At 39.4% G+C, this 23,629-nt stretch overlaps 2 long non-coding RNA genes across 2 annotated transcripts in view; one reads left to right on the forward strand and one right to left on the reverse strand.

Annotated features, from left to right (window-relative positions):
* The window catches only part of LINC00508 (long intergenic non-protein coding RNA 508), a 99,903-nt gene that overhangs the window by 34,161 nt on the left and 42,113 nt on the right, over positions 1 to 23,629 (reverse strand). The window contains exon 3 of the long non-coding RNA NR_126452.2: positions 22,425 to 22,586. This is a non-coding gene — a long non-coding RNA (long intergenic non-protein coding RNA 508). The remainder of the gene's footprint in view (positions 1 to 22,424; positions 22,587 to 23,629) is intronic.
* LINC00507 (long intergenic non-protein coding RNA 507) overlaps positions 1 to 23,629 on the forward strand; it is a 36,143-nt gene that overhangs the window by 2,740 nt on the left and 9,774 nt on the right. Inside the window, exon 2 of the long non-coding RNA NR_046392.1 lies at positions 16,141 to 16,200. This is a non-coding gene — a long non-coding RNA (long intergenic non-protein coding RNA 507). The remainder of the gene's footprint in view (positions 1 to 16,140; positions 16,201 to 23,629) is intronic.

The following is a 23,629-nucleotide window of genomic DNA, read 5'->3' on the forward strand; positions in this document are numbered from 1 at the left end:
AAGGCGTAGCCTATGCCATCCTGGGTAATTATAGTTTGAACATTTTCCCCCCTAAGTCTCATGTTGAAATGGGAGCCCCAGTGTTGGAGGTGGGGTCTGGAGGGAGGTGTTTGGATCGTGGTGGCAGATCCCGATCGTGGTGGCACATCCCGATCGTGGTGGCACATCCTGATCGTGGTGGCAGATCCCTCATGAATGGCTTAGCACCATTCCTTTGGCGATGAGTGAGTTCACAGAAGAGCTGATTGTTGAAAAGAGTCTGGTCTCCTCTCACTCTCTCACTGCCTCGCTCCTTCTCTCTCTTGCTCCCACCCTCCCTGTGTGATGCCCTGGCTCCCCTTAGCCTTCCACCATGATTGTTAAGCTTCTTGAGGTCCTCATCAGAAGCAAATACTGGCACTATACTTTGTGTACAGCCTGCAAAACTGTGAGGCAAATAAACATCTTTTCGTTATAAATTATCCAGTCTCAGATATTCCTTTTTAGTAATGTAAAAATGGCTTAACACACTAAGTCTGTTTTGAGCACATTCCATGAGGTCTGCTCACAGGTGATTGTCTCCTCCACACACCCCGTGTTCTGTGCTGTTGCTGTCGGTGCATGCCTCTCGTGATGTCACTGCTGTGGACACAGCCTGCCCTCCCCTCCCCAGAATTATATTTCTATGGACCTTGCTCTTCCTATATATTCCAGAAGCAACTCAGTTGGGGTGTGGCCAAGAAGGGAGACAATCACAGAAATGATTTCTCTCTTCTGCCTCCTTCAGGAAAATCTGGACTCCAAAATCTGGTTCTACTGATACGTGGCTGTGGCCAAAGTCTTTCCACGCCTCCAAGGCCTCCATTTTTTAATCTTCATAAGAGGGAACAATCCAATCTGCCTATCAGTATTGTGAGTGTATGATGGCTCCCCTGAAGTCCTGCAATTTCTTGACTGCGGGTTCCCAGGAAATGGCAGATGTGACTGGTAATGATTCATTCATTGTTTCATTAATCAAGCCAGCTTCCACTGATGATCTACTGGGTGCAGGACTCTGGCATGGCAGGCTGTGCATTCTGGCCACACTCAGTTCAAATTTCAGCCCTGTTTTTTGCTACCTGGGTGAGCTGGGCTGAATTACAGATCCTTTGCACTTCAGTTTTCTCCTCTCTAAAATAAGCGCTACAGTGGCATCGCCCTCAGAATTGTTTTGTAAGGAAATCAATGAGTGTTTTGCATAACGTGTGCAAGACACATAATTGGCCCTAGAAAATTTTAAGTAATAATAATGCTACTATTACATTTATAGAATGGCTCAGACAGTGTGACTCCCAAGCTGTGTGTTAACCACTGTAATTATTGCTAGTAATGATGTTATTTTAAACTTGTTTAATTATTCCTATATGTACACAGTAGGGCCCCCTTATTTGGGGCTTAGCTTTCATTGATTTTAGTTACCACAGTTCAAAAATAGTACGGTATTTTGAGATAGAGAGAAGCCACATGCATAAAACTTGTGTTACAGTATATTGTTAAAATTGTTCTATTTTACTATTAATTGTTAGTGCTAGTCTGTTATTGTGCTTAATTTATACTTTTACAATTTTAATTTTTTGTAGAGATAGGGTCTCACTATGTTGCCCAGGCTGGTCTCGAACTCCTGGCCTCAAGCAATTTTCTGGCCTCTGCCTCCCAAAGCACTGGAATCACAGACAAGAGCCACCATATCCAACTTCCTAATTTATAAATTAAGCTTTATCATAGTTATATACGTATAGAAAAAAACATACTATATGTAAGGTTTATACTATCTGCAGTTTCACACATACACTGAGGGTCTTGGGCTGTATCTTCTGCAGATAATGGAGAATAACTGTATCCCCATACATGTACCTCTATGTGAATATACACATTTAGATGCAGGAGTGGGTGTAGGTGGATATAGGTACGGGTTATACATAGACAGACACAGAGATGTATTTTTCCTCTTTAAAGAGCAAGGACTTCGGAGAAAACAGAACCAACAAACTGGAACATAGATTTAAGGAAATTACCCAGAACACAGAGAGACAAAGCCCTGAAAAATATTCCACAGAAGTTAAGAGACATGAAGGATAAAATAGGCAGGTGTTCCATAAGGAGAGAGAAGAAGGACGAAGAGACGCAGCATTTGAAGAGCTTAATCTAAGCATGATCTGAAGTTCATTTTTTTAAAATGCACCTTCAGATTCAAGAATTTACATCAAAACCCCAAGCAGAATTTTTCTAAGCCCGTGTCTAGATAGCACTTGGTGAGTAAATTCAAGCAAGCTTTAAAAATATAAAATAGTGGCTAGGTGTGGTGGCTTACGCCTGTAATCCCAGCACTTTGGGAGGCTGAGGCAGGCAGATCATGAGGTCAGGAGTTTGAGACCAGCCTGGCCAGCATGGTGAAACCCCATTTCTACTAAAAATACAAAAACTTAGGCAGGCATGGTGGCCTGTGCCAGCTACTTGGGAGGCTGAGGCAGGAGAATTGCTTGAATCCAAGATGCAGAGGTTGCAGTGAGCCGAGATTGTGCCACTGCACTCCAGCCTGGGCAACAGGGAGAGACTCTTGTCTCAAAAAAAAAAAAGTATATATATATATATATATATATATATATATATATATATATATATATGTGTGTGTGTGTGTGTGTGTGTGTGTGTGTGTGTGTGTGTGTATGTGTGTATATATATGTGTGTGTCAGAAAATAATAAGAATTATGATAAATTTAATGATAATTAAATGTACAAATATTAAAAATCAAGTGATGCTAAAATTCCAAGTAATAATAATAATATATAATTCTAACAATTTGGCATTGTGTATTTTGAGTTTATGGTGGTTAAGTACGTATAATTTGAAATTATGTTACAGTGTCCTAATATTTAGATTTTAAAAATCAAGCATAGTACAAAAGTCATTTAAAGATACAGTTGTAAATGTCCTTTTCAGGGACACGGATGGAGTTGGAAGCCATTATCCTCAGCAAACTAACGCAGAAACAGAAAACCAGACACCGCATGTTTTCACTTATAAGTGGGAGCTGAAATGATGAGAACACATAGACACATGAGGAAGAACAACACACACGGAGGCTTGTTGGAGGGGGAGGTAGTGGGAGGGAGAGCATCAGAAAGAATAGCTAATGGATGCTGAGCTTCATACCTCGGTGATGGGATGATCTGGGTAGCAAACCACCATGGCACACGTTTACCTATGTAACAAACCTGCACATCCTGCACATGCACCCTGGAACTTAAAATAAAAGGTGAAGAAAAAAATACAATGATATAGACAAAATACCAGAAAACTAATGGGAAAAGTATGTACAATAAATGCCAACCAGGGAAAAGCTGATAAAGTTTTATTAAATATCAGAGAAAATAGTATTCTAGGCAAAAATGTTCTGGATACAAATAGAATACTAAATGAGTAAGAGACAACCTACAAGTTTGTGAGAAATTTAAAATTGTAACTAACTAAGAACATAATTTAAATGTAAGTTGCTATATGTATTGTCAGAAATATCAGGTGAATTTGACAAACAATTATAAGAGCAGGAAGGTTTATCATACCTTACTTGGAAGTTGATGTGCCAAACGATGAAAATGAGTAAGTATAAGCACTAGTTGAGCAAATTTTAACTAAAGGACTTATATACAACCCATTCCCTTAAATGAAAGAATATGCATTTCCTCTAAACACAAAATATCATTTCTAATGATATAAAAAATCTTTAAACAATTAATATAAAACAAAACACTTTTTTGAGCAGTTGATTTCATCCATATAAATATTCTTTTTATTTATTTATTTATCTAACTTTTATTTTAAGTTCAGGATTGCATGTGCAGGTTTATTATATAAGTAAATTTGCATCATGGGGGTTTGTTGTATAGACTATTTTATAATCACACAGGTATTAAGCCTAATAGCCATTCGTTGCTTTGCCTGACTCCCTCCCTCCTCCCATCCTTCACCCTTTGGTAGGCCAGAGTGTGTTGTTCCCCTCTATGAAGACTTTTTTTTTTTCTATTTGAGACAGGGTCTTACTCTGTCACCCAGGCTGGAGTGCAGTGGTGCCACATTGGCTCACTACAGCCTCAATCTCCTGGGCTTAGGTGATCCTCCCACCTCAGCCTACCAAGTGGCTGGGATTACAGGGCCATGCCATCACACCCAGCTAATTCTGTATTTTTTGTAGCGATGGGGTTTTGCTATATTGCCCAAGTTGGTCTTGAACTCCCGGGCTCAAGTGATCCCCCTGCCTCAAACCTCCCAAAGTGCTGAAAACACATTTTTAAATCAGAAAATATTAAAAGTAAACCAAATCTTCATAGATTTGGAATTTATATAAAACAGGAAACTATAATAAAAATGAGAAACATTTAGAGTTGAACCACAATGAAAACAAGGCCGATAGATCCTGGGACAGGCACTGAAACGGTGTGTAGAGGACACATCACCATACGTGCATTCTGGAAGTGAGAATTTTAAAAAATAGAACAAAAGAGCAACAGTGAGTAGAAAAAAGAAAAGAATTAGAAATAGAGAAATTAGTTCGAAGGAAATCACAGGGGCAATTGAGAGAACCAATAAAACCATCACGGAATCTTTGAAGAAACCAAGGAAACAGTGAAACCATTTGAATGACTGAACAAAAGAAACCATGTGTGTGTATGTGTGTGCGCGTGTGGTGTGCATGTGTGTGCGTGTGGTGTGCATGTGTGTATATGTGTGTGTGCGCCTGTGTGCGTGCGTGTGCCTGTGTGTGTTTAATAATAAAGGTAAAGACAAGAGAAGAGACAGCTGTAAATAAATTATCGTCTTTGGAGAAGATCAGAGATAGTTTTCCTTCTCATTCTTGAACTTCCTTCTCAGCTTCAGTAAGAATGGTGACTCTCTTACAGGCCACGTGTGAAGGAATTAAACTTCTATTTCGTTCAGCCCTTCTAAAAAACAAATAAGTAATCCCTATATGAGAGACAAAGCTAATAAAATGTGTGGCATTATGGAATGATTGAGATCACATCTGGTATTAGGAAAGGAATTAATTATTAGAAAAATAGGCAAACACTGGCCTTTGCAAACTTATCTCTACTGTAAGAACCTATAAAAACAAAGGTAATGTTGTCAGAACTCCTGAGCCAGCATTAATGAGTTTCCTTTTTTTTTTTTTTTTTTTTTGAGATAGAGTTTCACTCTTGTTGCCCATGCTGGAGTACAATGGCGCGATCTCAGCTCACTGCTACCTCTGCCTCCCAGGTTCAAGCAATTCTCCTGCCTCAGCCTCATGAGTAGCTGAGACTACAGGCACCTGCCACCATGCCCGGCTAATTTTTGTTATTTTTAGTACAGACAGGGTTTCACCATGTTGACCAGGCTGGTCTCGAACCCCTTACCTCAGGTGATCCATCCGCCTTAGCCTCCCAAAGTGCTGGGATTACAGACATAAGCCACCGCATTCAGCCTACTAATGAGTTTCTGATAGAAAATTTGTCTTGCAACCAAATCAGGTTGTGTGTGGCCTTCCCCTTCTTTGTGACCTTCCTGTGCTCACGTGAACCTGCACGTGCTCTGGTGCCCACACTCCGCCCTTTATGTATTAACAGGAGGAGAGCTTTTATGGTGGAGATAAAGATTGAAGAGAAAAGGGTTAGCAAGACTTGAATGAAAAGAATTTAGTAGTAAGAATAATTTTAAAATATCCAATCTGATCATTTTTACAATATCAAATTTGGTCCATTTGCTCTTATGTGCAGGGGCTATACAGATGTTTGTTTTTCTGAACAAGAAGGATTTATAAGAAAGTTATTAACTTATTAACATTTATAATAATATTGTTATTATTTTAAGTGCCCATTAGGCCACATGTCTAAAAAATAATAATAATTTATCTCCAATCTTTACAAAATCACAGCAAGGGAGATATTGTTATCCCCATTTCACAGGTGTGAAAGCTTGAGGCACTCACTAGTTATAGCAGAGCCAGGATTCTCAGCCATGTCCCTCCAGAACTAAAGTCTAGTTCTTTAAAATTCATTGTTATCTTTCCAATTAGAGGGAAAAAATGTGTAGACTGACAGGTGACTTCTCAACCAAAATAATTGAAAGTATCTCAGCAAAAATATTCTTTAAGAATGATAGTGAAATAAAGACATTTCAGACAAAGAGAAACTGTCTTTGTTACCAGAAGACCCAGATTAAAGAAAATATCAAGGGTTGTTATTCAGGAAGAATGAAATAATCCCAAATCTTGGCCAAAACACACACACACACACACACACGCACACGCACACACCCTGAACCCCAAAACAATAACAATAACAAAAAACCAAGAAGGAATTAAATCACCACAAAGGGTGAATATGCAGAATGAATAATGACCACATAAAACAGTAACACAAATACAAATAGTCATGTGAGAAATTTAATGCACACATAAACAGAATTAACATGCATGGCAAAATGACATTTAATTCAAAAAGTGCATAAATGAAGTTAAACAATTCTAAGATTTTTGCTTTTTCCTGGAAAAGAAGAAAAGCCACAATTAATGTAACCTTTAATATGTCAGTTATCCATATTGCAATCTTTAAGATAATCCCTTAGAAAGAGTAATATTATTTATAATTTCCTAATTCATAGGGAAAATATGTAAATAAACATTTTCTAATTTGGAATAAGAAAAGACAAAACAGGCAAGACAAACTGAAAAACAAAAGCAGAGTAAGCTGACAGCCCAAATATATTAAGAATTGCATTACGTATAAGGAGACTGAATCTAACAAAACAAATATAAGCATCTCTTTGGATTAAAATAAATGTATATTTATAGGAGATTCACTTCAAACAGAGACAGAGGAAGATTGAAAAAATTAGACTATGCAAGCCATACCGAAGAAAGATTTTGTGTCCAGAAAAATATCTGACAAATTAGTCTTTAAGATAAAATGTACAACTAGAGATAAAGAGACTTTATAAAAGTTTAAAATCATTGAGAAGATAGAATGATTCTCAATGTGCTTGCACCTAAATGGTTTAGCCTCAAAAGGTGGTTATTTTGGGTGACATTGATTATATGCTTCTATATGTATTCTGCTTTATGTTTTTAAATCTATGTCTATTAGTCTGTTTTCACACTACCGTAAAGATACTACCTGAGACTGGGTTATTTATAAAGGAAAGAGGTTTAATTGACTCAGTTCCACATGGCTGGGGAGGCCTCAGGAAACTTACGCTCATGGCGGAAGGCGAAGGGGAAGCAAGGACTTTCTTCACATGGTGGCAGGAGAGAGAAGTGTGAGTGCAGGAAAACTGCCATTTATAAAACCACCAGATCTCATGAGAACTCGCTCACTATCATGAGAACAGCATGGGGAAACCAGCCTCATGATCCAATCACCTCCTTCCCTTGACATGTGGGGATTACAATTTGGGATGACATTTGGGTGAGAACCCAGAGCCAAACCATATCACTGTATTTTTAATTGTTTACAATAAATATATGAGGAACTGCTATAGGATTAAATAGAAACTACTCATATTTGTTCAACGTGCAATTAACCCCTAGCGAGCACTCAATACATGGTAACTGGCATCGTCACACATATCTCCATCACCATTAACCTTTTCGTAATCGAAACAGAACAATGGTCAAATAGGAAAAAGTAGGAACTGGAGTCCTGCAGAGTCGATTGTTTTTACTATAATTTAGTCATAAAAGCAAAGCATGAGAGTCATTTGTCTCACCCGGCATTTATAAGCCATCCTCCCTGAGACATTTAGGGCTCATCAGATGCAAGTCATGGAAGATACAAAAATATAACCACTATTTAGTATTTCCATCACTGCTGTAGGCCCTGTCTTTGATCCGGTTAGGCTTAGTTGTGTTTCTAGAACTCCAAGTACCTGATCGTATCTTGGGGTCATGTGAGGGAGATTTGGCCTTGAGGAGAGGGGCTTCACAGGCCAGCTGTTTATTGTTACTCTCCCACGGAATTCAGTCCGGAGCCCAGAGCCTAGGTTTCCATGAGGAACTCCTGACATCTGCTGGCCAGTGTGCTCCTGGTCTGTACACTGCATGCTGAGAGCCAGAGAATGTTCACTCAAGACAGTACCTCTGTGTTGGGTTTTTTTAACACTTAGAAAACTTTATTATAGTGTTTATCTCAAATAAAGAATTTAAAAATTCAACTATTAAAAGGCCAGGCATTCTCTAATATTCATGAACTATAAGTAGAAATGATAAGGAAAATAAATGTCCAAACACGCAAATAACCATCAGGCTAAAGTAAGAATTAATATCCCAATTACCAGCCATTTAGGAATTAACAAAAATGGCATTGCCTGTCAAATTATAGCAAGGCAACGAAACTGCAGCCAGAGGCAGGCTCATAAGACTAAAAAACTGATAGATATTTTTTTTGTTTAGTTACATGGATAAGTTCTTTGGTGGTAATTTCTGAGCTTTTAGTGCACCCGTCACCCTAGCAGTGTACACAGCACCCAATATGTAGTCTTGTATCCCTCACTCCACCTCCCGATGTTCCCTGAGTCCCCAAAGTCCTTATGTCATCCTTATGCCTTTGCATCCTCATAGCTTAGCTCTCACTTATAAGTGAGAACATACGGTATTTGGTTTTCCATTCCTGAGTTACTTCACTTACACATTTGAGAGAAATCACAGCTCAATTCACCCTTCAGGCTCATGAGTCCAGAAGTTTTTGCGTAGCCAAATTGAAAAAAAAATGATATCTATAAAGTGAGTGGAAGCCCTAATGGGAGATTTGCATAAAGGGTAGGAGCCTGGATATTGAAGTCTGTCTCATAAACCTGTGCTCGTCTCCTAGTGGTACATCTGTATCCCAGCTAAATAACACCTTTGTGCCTCAGTTTCCTTGTCTGTGAAATGGGGCTGAAAATATGACCTACATGATAAGATTATTATGGGATGGAAGTAGTTAAGGCATATATATATATATATATATATATATATATATATATATATATATATATGTTAGAACAGTTCCTTGCAAAGAACAATTTCTTAATATGTGAGCATTGTTATTAAATCCTAAAATTGTGACTCATACAATTTAATAAAGCTACTAATCAATCTAATTTACTGCACATGTATTTTAAAAATCCCTAACAAATTATGGGGGCTATTTGCATTCTGCCAGCACTGCAGGAAGCTGCAGATAGCTCTGGAAAATAGTAAATGTGCTGTGTAGAACAACTTCTTTTATAACCTGCTTTTATTCTAAAATATGAGAAGGCCTGGGTGTAAATATGGTGAGAAGCCTTTTATTGTTCCTATTAACGTGAAAATGAGCTTGTGTAATGCACTCTGATTGTGTCTAAATCATCCCCGCTCCTGGTCAGTTTCACATCGTCTCAGACAAAGAACACTGGGCCTTCTACAGTAATCACACATTAATAGGCATGCATTAGTTGTGGCACAAAGAGCTTTTTTAGTGGATTAATTGAAAGTCTCCCTGTGCAAGCTTGAGAACCTCAGCTAGTGACATTGAACATGCACTCTTACAATTAATGATGAATAATAAAAGCTAAATAGTGTCATGGATCCCACTGCCAACATTTTGCTTAGGAAAGTCACCAGCCTGAGCCATTCTCATGTCATAACTTGGAACCCCACAGATGGGCTGAAGCATGGATCCTATATGCAAGCCAAGGAGGTTTAAACGCTGGTTCTGCTAGCTACTAGCTGTATGACCTGGTGGGAGTCAGGGGTGCTCTCTGAGGATCAGTTTCTTCATCTGCAAAATGGGAATTACAGAAAGAGTGCCAATCTCGTTCAGTCACTGTGAGGACAAAGTGAACCAGCTTGTGTGTGAATGCACCCCGTAGAACCTGGCATGTAAAGAGTGCAAAGTAAGTGTTAGTTATTATTATTATTATTATTAGTTTATTAGTTGGGTCCTCACAGGAAACACATGGTACACTCAAAATGGGACTGAATTTAATAAATTTAATAAAGATAGTACTTCAATAGATTGGACAACATTAAATAAATGGGAGATGGCACTGCACCCAGGTCCTAGCAACAGTGGGAAGCCATTACACTAACTCCGTACCACTACTCCAACCAAACGAACAAGAGGAGGGGACAGTTGCCACACCACACAGGAGCTTTGGCATTAAGAAGACCTTGGCATTTGAAGCCATGGAAGCTGTGGCCTCCATAAAAGGAACACAGACGATGCCAAGTCTTGGAGAGCAGGGAGAGAGGGAGGGTAATAAATCTCTTGACTTCTCTCTTCTTTTGACCCTGAAAACCCAGCGTCTCCAATCAGAAAATCTAACCAGAAGCCAGAGAGCAGAGGAAGCCAGGTGCTGCGATATGAAAAGGTCAGCCTACAGGTTAGAGTAGTGCAGGGTGCACTAGGGTTAGGAATAGATTTGGAGGGGAGACTGGCAAATATCAGCCCCCAAGGAGAGTGGTCTTAGGGCAATCTATATTATGCATGCGATCAGTATGAATAAACTGAGCAAATATTACCAATATAGCTGCATACCCCACTGCCAAGAAACACTAAGGGAACAAATATAACTGTGGAAGTGACTCAGTGCCTTTGAGTCTGGTTCTGGACTGTGAACAGGAAGAGTGATAATCCTAACAAAAACAACTTGAATAAAAATAGTAACAGCAACTGGCATTTCTATAATACTTGGTAATTTTCAAGCCGCTTTCATGTATATAACCACATTTCAGCCTTGTAATAACTCTATTGGAAGGTAGGTATTTATTTCCATTTTAAAATGAGAAGTGTTTAGTTTTCAAAATCCCTTGTGCAATTCTTGCTTAAATTTCCAAGAGAATGCATGAAAAATGTTGATATTACATGTTAGTGTTCAGGAATACAAGATGTGGAATTTACTTGTTTTACTCAAGTCATGTGTTGTGAGGCTTGTAATGTGTCAAGCTCTGTTCTAGACACTGGGGATCCAGCAGTGACAAAAACAAAGCCCTGCATGTTTTTGAGCTGCAGTTACTTTGGAAGAGCCTGGAAGTCCTTCAAGAAGTTAAAAGAGTTGTTTATGTCCCAATAGAAATGAAAACATGTATCCACACAAAACCTTGGACATAAATATTCACAGCAGAATTGCTCATGATCGCCAAAGTGTGGAAATAGCCCAAATGCCTATCAGCTGAAAGATACATAAAATTGTATATCCATACAGTTAAATATTACCTAGCAATAAAAAGGAATGAAACACTGATTTATGCTACAGGAAAGAATCTTTAAATTATTACACTAAGTGAGAGAAGCCAGTCACAAAAAATTACTTATTATATGATTCCATGTGTATGAAAGATCCAGATTAGGCAAATCTAGAGAAAAATGTAGATTAATGGTTATTTAGGGCAGGAGTGATGAGTGAATGAGAAGATTGGGAGTGACAGTGATAGCAGCAGGAGGCAGCCAAATGCCCAGACAGACAGGGGTGGGAGCCCATGACCCCATCTCCAAGCCGAAGACAGTTGAAAGCCTGAAAGCCAGGCTACAAGTTAAATCCTTGGACTGGATTGAGAACTTGTCTTCCTGTTTGGCACACTTTCCTCTGATTCATGCCCACCCTTCACCTATTTTACATATAGCTACCCTTGCCTAATTGGTTTTCTACACTATCATGCCAACCTTTGGATGGTGTCTTCACTTTAACCTTTTTTGCATACTCACAAACCAATCAGCACACACTCCCCATCCTGTGCCTATAAAGTTCCCAGACTCAGTCAGTAGAGGAGAATATGGCCTGACTTCAGGGAAGGAGATGGCCTGACTTTAGGGAAGAGACAACCTGACTTTGGGGAAGGGACAACCTGACTTCAGGGAAGACGACCTGCCCTTCCTGTCCCCTCTCCAGCTTCCCTCTCCACTGAGAGCTGTTTTCTTCACTCAATAAAATTCTGCACCTCCACCATCCTTCAATTGTCTGCATGACTTCATTCTTCTTGGATGTCAGACAAGAGCTCAGGACCCACTGAGTGTGGGTACCCAGAAAGGCTGTCACACAAGCCCTTTGCCTTTGCTGGCAGAGGGCAACCACCCCATGGATGAGGCAAGGGGCCAACTGAGCTGCTAACACCCTGTGGACGGCTGAACTAAAGGAGCTCTGCAACACCTCCTCTCAGGCTTCAGGGTCATGGGCACCCTCACCTGGGCGCTGCCACATTCCCCTGAAGGTGACATGCCTGGACTGGCCCCAGGTCTCACTCAGAGCTTGCTCCTGTGTTGACGCCCAAAGCAGTCAGCCAGATCTCGTTGTTGCTCACTCACTTGTTCCCTTCTGCAGAGGGTTGAGCATGGCAGACTGAGTAGATGGGCATCCCTTCCACGAGTCTGGCAAAGTGGGCAGAGAAAAATCCTGCATCAACAGCTAAATGATGTGGGGTTTAATTTTAGGGTAATGAAAATGTTCTAAAATTGGTCATGTGATGAATGCATAACTCTGTGGATATACTAAAAGCCAATTGCATTGCAATGAATTGCATGTTATGTGAATTATATCTTTTTTTTTTCTTTAGACAGAGTCTGGCTCTGTCCCCAGGCTGGAGTGCAGTGGCAGGATCTCGGCTCACTGCAATCTCTGCCTCCTGGGTTCAAACAATTCTCCTGCCTCTCAGCCTCCCAAGTAGCTGGGATTATAGGCGGGCACCACCACGCCCAGCTAGTTTTTGTATTTTCAGTAGAGACTGAATTATATCTTAATAAGGCTTTTCTTTTCAACGCACTGCCCCTTGAAGCCTGAGATTTTTATCTAGTGAGATATTGACACTTTTAGCCAAACTTCTCTTGGTAAACCTCATATACTGTACTTGACCCAGTATATAATAATTGTGAGATATTTTGGATGTTCGTCCCCACCCAGATCTCATGTTGAATTGTAATCCTCAGTGCTAGAGGTGGGGCCTGGTGGGAGGTTTTTGGGTCATGGGTGTGGATCCCACATGGCTTGGTGCTGTTTTCATGATAGTGAGTTCTCAGGAGATCTGCTCATTTAAAAGTGTATGGCACCTCCCCCTGCCAACTCTCTTGCTCCTGCTTTCACCATGTAAAACCCTGCTCCCACTTCACCTTCTGCCATGATTGCAAGCGTCCTGAGGCCTCTGCAGATGCTAATGCCAGAGCTATGCTTCCTGTACAGCCTGCAGAAGTGTGAGACAATTAAACCTCTTTTCTTTATAAATTACCCAATCTTGGGTATTTCTTTATAGCAATGCAAGAATGGCCTAATACAAGTTGGATTAGAATTTTTACATAAGCAATCATCTTGGATGTCCTGCTGAGCTGTATCTTTCTGGAGGCATTTATAAGAAAAAGTGAACACACACACACGTATTCCTAGACCTGATTCTTCCTCCAACTTTACATCAATTTCAAATTAATAGAACTATGATTTGTTGAGATGATTAGGAACCTTTGCAGGAAAACAACTTACTGAGCAATGCATGTTCCTTCTGATATTCTCATCAGCTTCATTTCCAAAGAAAAGGTGACTATTCTTTTCATGTGCTCTTCGCTTTGTTTTATTTTATTCTTTGATGCTAAAAATTAAAATGCCTTCAACTTTTGTGCCAATGTCTTTGTAGATTGTATCACTTGCCTTGCTTAGAGATAAAACATACCTGTGTCTCTGGTCTTGGGAAAATCTGAAAGCCCAGGGTTGCTCCCCAGAGCTAAGCTTTTATAGGCACATCTCCCTTTCACTGCCCTGGAAAATCATACTCAGGCCACCATCTCCCCCAGTCATAGGGGTTGCATCTTAATGCCTACAAATAGCCCGCCCTGTTGGATCCTCTTCCTTTGGGGGGTTTGGGATAAGAAGATGGGCACTTTCTCTCCCTTTGGAGGGAATAGAGGTAACAGCACAATTGATTTTTCAAAGATAATACACCTCCAAGAATCTTTCTTCCTCACCTCTCAAAGCTTCTAAAGTCTTAAAGCAAATAAAAGATTTCAATAATTGTGAAAAAAAAGTATTATTTCTTTTGAAAAACCCATGCATAGCAGATTCAGGATACTATTTCAGAATTTCTCATCTTTCTTGATACGTGGTTGGAACCTGAGTTTGGCATCATTGTGTGCATCTGTTTCTGCATGTTGATCTGTCTGTGCAGCTGGGAACGGGGGAGTGCAGACTGTGGGTGGGTTTCCATGGGGGTCTGTGTGAGCATAGGGCCCATAGACTGTGGAGGGACTTAGGAAAGGCAGGAAATGCTCCTTTTCAATTCCCCACCAACAGGGGACCTGTCAAATCCAGGGCAGTAATAAAATCCATCAAGTTGGAAGTTCTCCTTCAAGAGCCATGGAAATGTGAGTGAAGTATCTGTCTGATCCTCAGGGCAGTCCATCGTATATGATCTCATTATGCAGGACTCACAAGCCCTGTGTCCACTGCCAGACAGAGAGGTCCTACGGAGCAACAAAGGTGTTCTACTTCTTCATATTCTATTTTCTTTAGCCTCTACTTGGGCCCTAGCCCAGGAATAAATGCACAATGGATGCAGAGAGTGGAATAATAGCTTTGAATGAAAATATTCATCCAGAAAAAAAGAAAGATACCATAATCAATGAACTAAATATTCATGCCATGATGTTATTTTCAAAAACCAGCAAGTCGCAGAAAGTAACTTCTCTTAAAAGTAGAAAATACCGAAGGAAGAAAATAAGGACAGAAATATGTGAAATAGAAACGAAATATACAATAGAAAAAATCACCAAATGCAAAAGGTATTTCATTGAGCAGACTAATGAAATTGATTTGAATCTAGGAAGACTGATGAAGGAAAGTAAGAGAATGAATAAATTGCAAATATTGACAATGAAGATAGGGCATCATTAAAGATCCTATGCACATTTAAAATAAGAAATTTATAATATAAACAATATTATTTTTAAAGAAAAAAATTCAGGTAATAGCCAAATTCCTAGAAAACTACTGAGAATATATAATGAATCTGATACAAGAAGGAGAAAATTGGACTATATCTGTGTTTAATAAATGAAGTGCATGAATTTTCCTTAGAGCCTTATCTAAGCTAGCCCTAATTCCCTAATTATCTTCTATTATATCATCCAGTTTTATTTTTATAGCAGTTATCACTACCTAAAATTATATCATCGTCTATATATCTACTGCCTGTCTCCTTTCACAAAAATATAACTCTTTTTAGAGTCTTGGGACATTTTGGATATGCTTTATTGTTGATTTTAGGCAGTAGAGAAATCAGCTATATTTTTTATGGGCAGATAGTCTATTATATTTTTTAAATCTCCAGACTATGTGTTTATGTCATTATATTTATTATAAACATCTATTTAGAAGTATTTTATGTTGATCCTATTGAAAAATTAAGTAATAGGGGATGAGAGTCCTCTCTGTCTTGATCAACTCCACAATACTGGTATCTAGAGTAAGACTGACTCACATTAAGTACTCAAAAATAATGTTTAAACAAACAAAGGCACACAGGAAGAAATAAATGTATCCATATTGTAAATAATTTCACCATCTGAGAAATTTTTATGGCAAGAAATCTTGTTACCAGTATACAATGGTGACCACAAATATAGAAATGAGAAAATTCCACCCAAAGAGGTGACTTTCAGAGATTCTTTCTTCTCCCTCTCTTCTACATTTCTTGAAGTTTCCTTCCAAAATATTCTCTCGTAAATTTTTGAATATATTAGATTTTTTAATACTTCATGACATTAAGCCCCTTTCTCACCAGACTACTGGTGTCTCCAAGTCTGTCTCTGTCAGGAACACCTGGGAGTCCCAGTGAAAAGGGTCCTCACCAGCATCCCCCTGGCCTGTGAACTCACAGGATCAACAGTCAGAAGGTGACAGATGGAAGATGTGGCTTCCTGAGTTCTCCTGTAGGGCTGCACTTCATAAAGTCATAGGGGAAGGCTGCTAACATTGAGACGTTTTAGCGTCTATTCTGAACTGTGGTTCTCAGAATTCAGGACCAAAGTTGGGCTCTGTGTGTCAAGTTATCTGCATAGAAAAGCCATCCTGGTGTTCAATGAGGAAAGAAGAGAAATTAGCAAAAATATACGGTCAGGTCTTAGCATTAAGAATTGTATTCTCTCCCTACAAAGGCTACCTGAGAATATCCAGAGACTACAGAGGTCATCAAGTTGACGCATCAATGTTTACATGTAAGTCATCCAAGATTTATCTCACTAGTTTGTGAATACTATACCCCTACCCTTTTGTCTCTATTTTGCTTTAGAAATATTTCCAATAAACCAATTTATGAAGGAGGGTCCAGAGGAGGAAAAGGCCAACCTTCAGCACTGCATTCCATTTCTGGCCATATTCCCAGAAATTATAATTATAACCCAAAACAACAATCCACTCATTAACATCTGCAAAAAGCATGCAATTCAGGATGAAGTTTCTAAATTGCCTTCAGCCAGAGGACCCTCCAAACCACTTCATTGTCATGATCAACATGGAAAATCAACTTTCAGAGCAGTCAGAAGAATGTACATATTCTTTTCTAAATATTGCGAATATTTAAATATTTTATTGAATATCCTAATAGCATATTTTGAATGTTTTTTTTTCTGGAATACATTTGAGTATACAGAGTTTCATGATTTAGTCATAAACACTAAAAGAAAACAATTATGGCACTTGTCAAATAAATACATAGAACAATTACGCTAGTGGTTCACCAAATTCCACATTGAGAAGCATTTTTTTTTTTTTTTAGACGGAGTTTTGCTCTTGTTGCCCAGGCCGGAGTGCAATGGTGCAATCTCGGCTCACTGCAACCTCCGCCTCCTGGGTTCAAGCCATTCTCCTGCCTCAGCCTCCCGAGTAGCTGGGATTACAGGTATGTGCCACCATGCTCGGTTAATTTTATATTTTTAGTAGAGATGGGGTTTCTCCATGTTGGTCAGGCTGGTCTTGAACTCCCGACCTCAGGTGATCCGCCCACCTCAGCCTCCCGAGGAGCCTTTTAATTAGGAGAAGAAGAAGCCAAACATTGGTCTCCTGCCCTCCTTTAACTCCCCATCTCATGAACTAGATTTTGTTTCATGAGGGCACCAAAGAACTCTCATCTCAGTCCTTTCTTTATCAAGGGCTAACCTTGTTTTAGGGACTTAGTAGAGGGGTGCTAAGATTACAGCCTCTGAGGTTGAAGTGCCCTAAGTTCAAACATCAGCTCTTGTACTACTTAATATCTTTCTAAATTCAGCAGGTCATGGTGGCTCATGCCTGTAATCCCAGGACTTTAGGAAGCTGAGGCAGGCAAACCACTTGAGGCTGGGAGTTCAAGACCAGCCTGGCCAACATGGGGAAACCCCATCTTTACTGAAAATACAAAAATTAGCTGGGCATGGTGGTGCACACATGTAATCCCAGCTACCTGGGTGGCTGAGGCACTAGAATTGCTTGAACCTGGGAGGTGGAGGTTGCAGTAAGATGAGATTGCGCCACTGCACTCCAGCATGGGCAAGAGAGCGAGACTCTGTCTCAAAATAAATAAATAAATTCATACAATTCATGTTACCTCCTAACTATTCAATTTCCTCACCTGTAAAAGAGGCGTTGAACATATTGTACAGTGTAATTAGATTAGGATAAAATAATGTGGGCGAATCACTTGGCACTAAACAAAAGCTCAGTATATTCAAAAACTTACTATTTTTGTTTGTCTCCGCAATTCATGAAATTAGGAGCAAGTAAGTTTTGGGCTGCGATTTGGCTGTATGCTGTCTTATTGGGAAACGCCTGAAACATTTTTAAATACTTTATTGTTGGTTTTAGAAAGTGAGGAAATCAGATTTTTTTTTAAATGGGCAGATATTCCACAATATATTTTTAAATCTTTAAACTATGTGCTTATGTTATTGTATTTATTACAAATATTTTTAAATATTTTGTTTCTATTATTTTGAAAAATTAAGTAATAAATGAAGACATTTATGTCCCACTAGATTTGTTGGGATGGGAACTGAGCATGGGGGTTACTGAGAAGAGGTGCAATTTATTACACACGACTGACAACTTCCACTGGTCAACAGCCACACAAAGGCTCATCTAAGCTTGCCACTACGCCCTCCTTACTGCTGGCTCAGAAAGCCTGCTTCTACGAATCTGCTACTATTTATTATATTATTGTTTTATCGCTTGAAGAACAGAAAATGTAACCAATATTTGGAAAGACCTAACTGAAATAGATAACTATGGAAGCATGCCTTTCCCTTGTGTGTCCAGAAGCACCACGTATGGAGTCCACAGGACACAATCAGGGGTTAAATGAGAAAGACACATGTTAGATTTGGTGGTTTGACATGGAGTACTGAGCTGTCACGAAGATAATGGTGCATTAGATGCCGCATCATTGTGTTCTGAGAAAGTGGTCAGATGGATCAGGCCTGTGAGAAGAGAAATCTCTGGGCAGATCCTGTTTAAGTCTGGAATTATTCATTGTCCAACCAGAAATTCCAGGTCCTACTAACAATATGCTGCCTTCATGGATATCCAGAAGCCAAGTGGAAAGGGACTCATTTGCATTTAAATTAAATTTGAATAAATATTTTAGTAAAAATTTAAATAGAGACAACCACAGTCTTGCCTAGAGTTGTTCCTCTTTGGCAGGAGATGCAATAGAAATTGCTTATGTTATTGTGAGCTCTCTCCAGGCACCCAGAGAAGGGCAAGGGGACCCAGCCTCTGAAATAATGCATTTTCCACTGAACTACATTGTGAGATAGAATGAGTTCAGACTTTCCTTTCCTCTACTTTTTCAAACCAGAATGACAGATAACCCTATGTATTTTCTAGAAATTTCTCAAAATTCTAGAAATGACCTCAGTTAGAACAGAGCGAAATGTGGATCTAATGAAATTCAAGAGATGAGGAGGTGGAGGCAGACTACGAAAAGAACCAACAATTCAGTTTGTAGTTGAAGCCACCGACTAAGTGCCTGCTCCTGGAACACCAAGCTCATTTCCACTACCTGCTCACAAAAGGACAGGAGTGTTCTAATGTAGCAGAAAGAAAGCTTAACTTCAGGTTAGAGGGTGAGCATTTCAACACGAGGGCAGAGGAACTCTAGGGTGGGGTCTTGGTCAGGGAGGCCCTCTCTGGAATGGCTGTAACAGGGTCTAACCAGGACAGACAGCCAATCTGGTGACTGACAGCTTCTAGATGATTGGGACCTAAAGGATTTCCAGTCCAGAGGTGTGAGCTCAGGGCTGCCAAGTGTGCAGATGCAGGGCCAGGGCAGCCTCACTCACATCTGCAGCAGTCCATTCCCATGAATTCTATGTAAATGGAGCCCCCTGGAGTTGTGCTAGGTGTGGGTGAGGTCCCTGTTGGAAACCGAACATGGCATAGTCTGGCAATTTTGTCTGAGACAGTGGCAGTTAAGTATCTTTGTCAACCTTCCTTCCAGCTCTGTACGATCAATACTTCTCAATTTCCTAAATTCTAAATACTCAAGTTTTCCCCATAAACTGGGTCTTCAATCATTACATCTTTACTTAAAAAGATCCCCTCTCTCAGGGAAAATGTATGTTCACCATTATTGATGGAAAAAGTCAAACTCTGTAAAATATTTAAAGAGGTTCATTCTGAGCCAAATATGAGCGACCATGGCTGGCTCAAGGCATGGTATCAAGAGTTCCTGAGAATATGTGCCCAAGGTGATTGGGGTATAGCTTCGTTTTATACATTTTAGGGAGACAAAAGACATTAGTCACTACATGTACGGTTTACATCGGTTTGGTCCAGAAAGGCAGGACAACTCAAAGTGGGGACCTGGGGATCATAGGTGGATTCGAAGATTTCCTGATTGGCAACTGGTTGAAACAGTTATTATCTAAAGATCTGGAATTAATACAAAAGAGTGTCTGACTGAAGATAAGGGGTTGTGGAGACCAAGGTTCTTATTATGTAGATGAAGTCTCATAGGTAGCTATGCTTTGAGGCAATAGATGGCAAATGTTTCCTATCCAGACCTTTAAAATGTTCTGGACTCTCTGGAAAAGACCTAGTAAAGAAAGAGAATTTGCTACAGAATGCAAATATCCCTCATAAGAGACAACTGTGCAGGGCCATTCTAAAACATGTCAAATAAATACATTTTGGGGTAAAATACTTTGATTTCCCTCAGAGCCTGCTATCTGTCATGTGATATATGACAGATAGGGTTGGAATTTGGTAACTTAATGTTACAGAGAGTCTGCTCTGTCAGTCTTGAGATCTCTGTTTTAATGTTAATGCTGGTCAATTGTACCTGAACTTCAAAGGGAGGAAGGTGTAACCAGGTATGTCCAACCCACCACCTCCCAGCCATGGCCTGAACTGGTTTTGCAGATTTCTTCGGAATCCCCTTGGCCAAGAGGGAGCCCCTCCAGTTGGTTGAGGGGCTTAGAATTTTATTTTCGGTTTTCACCCCTCATGTTTGTTCATACTGGGGTCTATTTCTCAAATATGTCGATGCTCCTGAAAGTCAAATGATAGGAATATGACAAATAGCTGTGTATTTGATGAGGTGGTGTTTCAGATGGCATGGATTTTTCAAATTTTCCATGTAGACGAAATGGCTAGCAATGTGAGTCTTCATGTTTCCATTTTGAAATGAAGATATGTGCCTGGCACATACTGTAAAATCAATAAAATTCTGTTGAATAAATTTGGAAAGAGGTTTATAAACATTCCGAAGAAAGCTGAATTTTCCTGAAATAATCCCTATTTCAGTTCCAAGGGCTTTATGCATTAAAAATATCAAATATTCTTCTATTTTTTTCCATTACAGCTCACACAAATGCACATGTGTTCTGAGAATCAAAGGGTCAGCCTTGGACACGTCTGGCATATCAAATAAAGGGTTTCTCTGTAATTTTTGAAGAGATCCAATATAATTTGTGCTCAAATGTTCTGAAATGTTCATGAATGACTTAACTTGTGGCTGACTCTAGAATTGTTACGTCTTCCATGAAAAGTGTTGGTCACACACGTAGAATCTACTGCCTGCTCAGGCCTGCCTAGCTAAGCCATAATATTTTCCAGGGATTCACTTCTCACCATCACAGCCTTGGACGGGACAGGTCTGCTTGACCCTGGAGTATTCTAGTTCCCTTGCACTCATTGGTTCAGGAATGTGTAAACCTATGAACTTACTCAGATGAACAAGATATAAGGAGAATTTCACTAGGGGAATTCTAGTAAAAAGCTTTGCTCTTCTAAAAAAAAGATGTAGGAAGCTACCTGCTGTCTTCTTTACGAGGAGCTTCCTACCTCATTTGATGGCACTTGGAATTTCAGGTGCTACCTTACCACTAGTCTAAGGAAGAAGCCATTCTGAGGAGGATGGCCATGCAGAGAGATGAATGGAACCTGGGACAAGTTGACATTGCTGAGCTGTTTACTTTGCCAACTCAGCACCCCCACTCCCCGCCACTGGATCTTCGGGCTTTCTAAGAGAGAGAATAAGACCCTTCATTGCAGAAGTCTGATGAGCCAGGATTTTCTGTAGCTACAGCTGAAAACATTGAAATGATACAACTTATTTGTAAATGGCCATGTTTTACAGAAAATTAATTGTATTAGAAAAATTCATTTTCTCCTCAGAAGACCATGAACTTCTTGAGGGCAGAGATTGTATTTTGTGATTTAATGATGCTCAGAACTAGGCACAGTGAGTCCTTTTGAAGTTGTTTTGTTTAGTTTTGTTTTCATTACATTTTGGGATAACTCGTGGTATTCTTAAGGCCACCTCTGCAAGTATACTATAGCAATTTTCTCTGCTTTGCACTCTGAAGACCATAAAGGTGAATAAGATTTGAATATATCCCTAGATAGCTTTAAATATAGTAGAAGAGGCAGATGTACACACAAGGTATAATCCATGGAAAAATAGGAAATAGGAAGACCATTATGATATTTATTTTCTATCAAGCAGAATTGAGTTCATCTACAAGTAACGGTGAAATTAATCATAATGGATTAAACATTAGAGATTGTTTTTCCTCATGTGACAGCATTTCTAGAGGTTACTGGAGTTAGTACAGAAGTTTAGAGGAATCAAGAGAATGTTTTGGAAGAGTTAGTACAGCAGTTTAGAGGAATCAAGAGAATGTTTTGGAATCCTTTGGCTTTTTCCTTATCATTGAAAAATGACCACTGTATCTCAAGCCATCACATCCTAATCAACACAAAAATATCTGAAAGAGATGATGCCAGCCATATCTCTCCTATTATCCATAAACAAAAGTTTGGCAAGAAATGCCTCACAGTGATTTATATGTAGACTTGTAATTTAACTTAGGTCAAACAATCACTCTCATCTCAAGCAATTTTAAGCTTGAGAAGTAAAGGGGATTGAGTATCAAATAGACAGCTATTACAGAATGCCACTTACCTGATGTATGACTTGAGCTGGAGCCTGGAAATAGTTGAGGCTGGAGAGGGAGGTAGAACAAGATTATGAGGCTGTGGCTGGGCTGGGTAGCTTTGTCTATTCTCCAAGAGCAAAGGGGAAGAACATGGCCCCATGATGGCACGCGCTGAGCATACTCAAAGACTGTGAGAAGGAAAGAGGATTTAATTTCATTTAAACATGATCACTTGACAAGATGTCCATACTATGATATCTAAAGTAGGTTTTATATATTTTGTCTTGGAACTTGTCTTAGACATTTAGGTATTGAAAACACTGAGATGAAGAAGACAGAGAATTGCTTCATGCTTTTATTTCACCCACAAAAAGGAAGTTGTTGACTAAAGTTGCTCTCCTCTGGAGGAATAAATTATAAATGGGATTTAAGTTTTCATTAGTAGCATATTATTGGGTAGCTATGTTGAGGTAAAGAACTTCAAGTTTAACCAGGACATTCTCTGAATTTCCCAAAATATCAATTTTAAACATAACTCACTGTTACTAATGTTTGAAAATGCAACTTCACAAATTAATTGGGATATAATTCATAGACCATACAACCGTTCATTTAAAGGGTACAATTAAATGGTTTTATTAGGTTCACAGCTACCAGAAAAATCTGATTTTAGAACATTTTCACCCTGCAAGAAGAAACTCTGTGCCCACTGCCAGCCACTCCCATGACCCTCCATCTCCACCCTCCGGGTGCTAAGTAACGACTAATTTACATTTCATCTCTATAATTTTGCCTGTTCTTGACGTTTCATACAAATAAAATCACATAACATATGATGATCTCTTGGGACAGGATCCTCTCATTTACCATAATGTTGTTAAGGTTCACCCTTGCTGTAGCATGAGTCAGTACTTCATTTTTTTTAATGGATGAGTGCTATGCTATTGTCTAGATAGACCATAGTTTGTTTATGCATTCAAGTGGACAGACGTTTGGGTTGTTTTCATTCCATGATTATTATGACTATATTGCTCTGAAAATTCCTGTACAAGCTTTTGTGTGCACACATTTTCATCCTTCTTAAGTATATACCTACGTGTGGAATTGCTGGGTCATTTAGCAACTATGTTTAGCTTTTTGAAGAACATCCAACTGTTTTCCAAAGGGGTTGCATTATTTTATATTCTCACCAGGAATTATGAAGCTTTCCATTTCTCCACATCCTCATCAA

This window comes from Homo sapiens, chromosome 12, assembly GCF_000001405.40.
Source record: "Homo sapiens chromosome 12, GRCh38.p14 Primary Assembly".
Taxonomy (NCBI): Eukaryota; Metazoa; Chordata; class Mammalia; order Primates; family Hominidae; genus Homo; species Homo sapiens.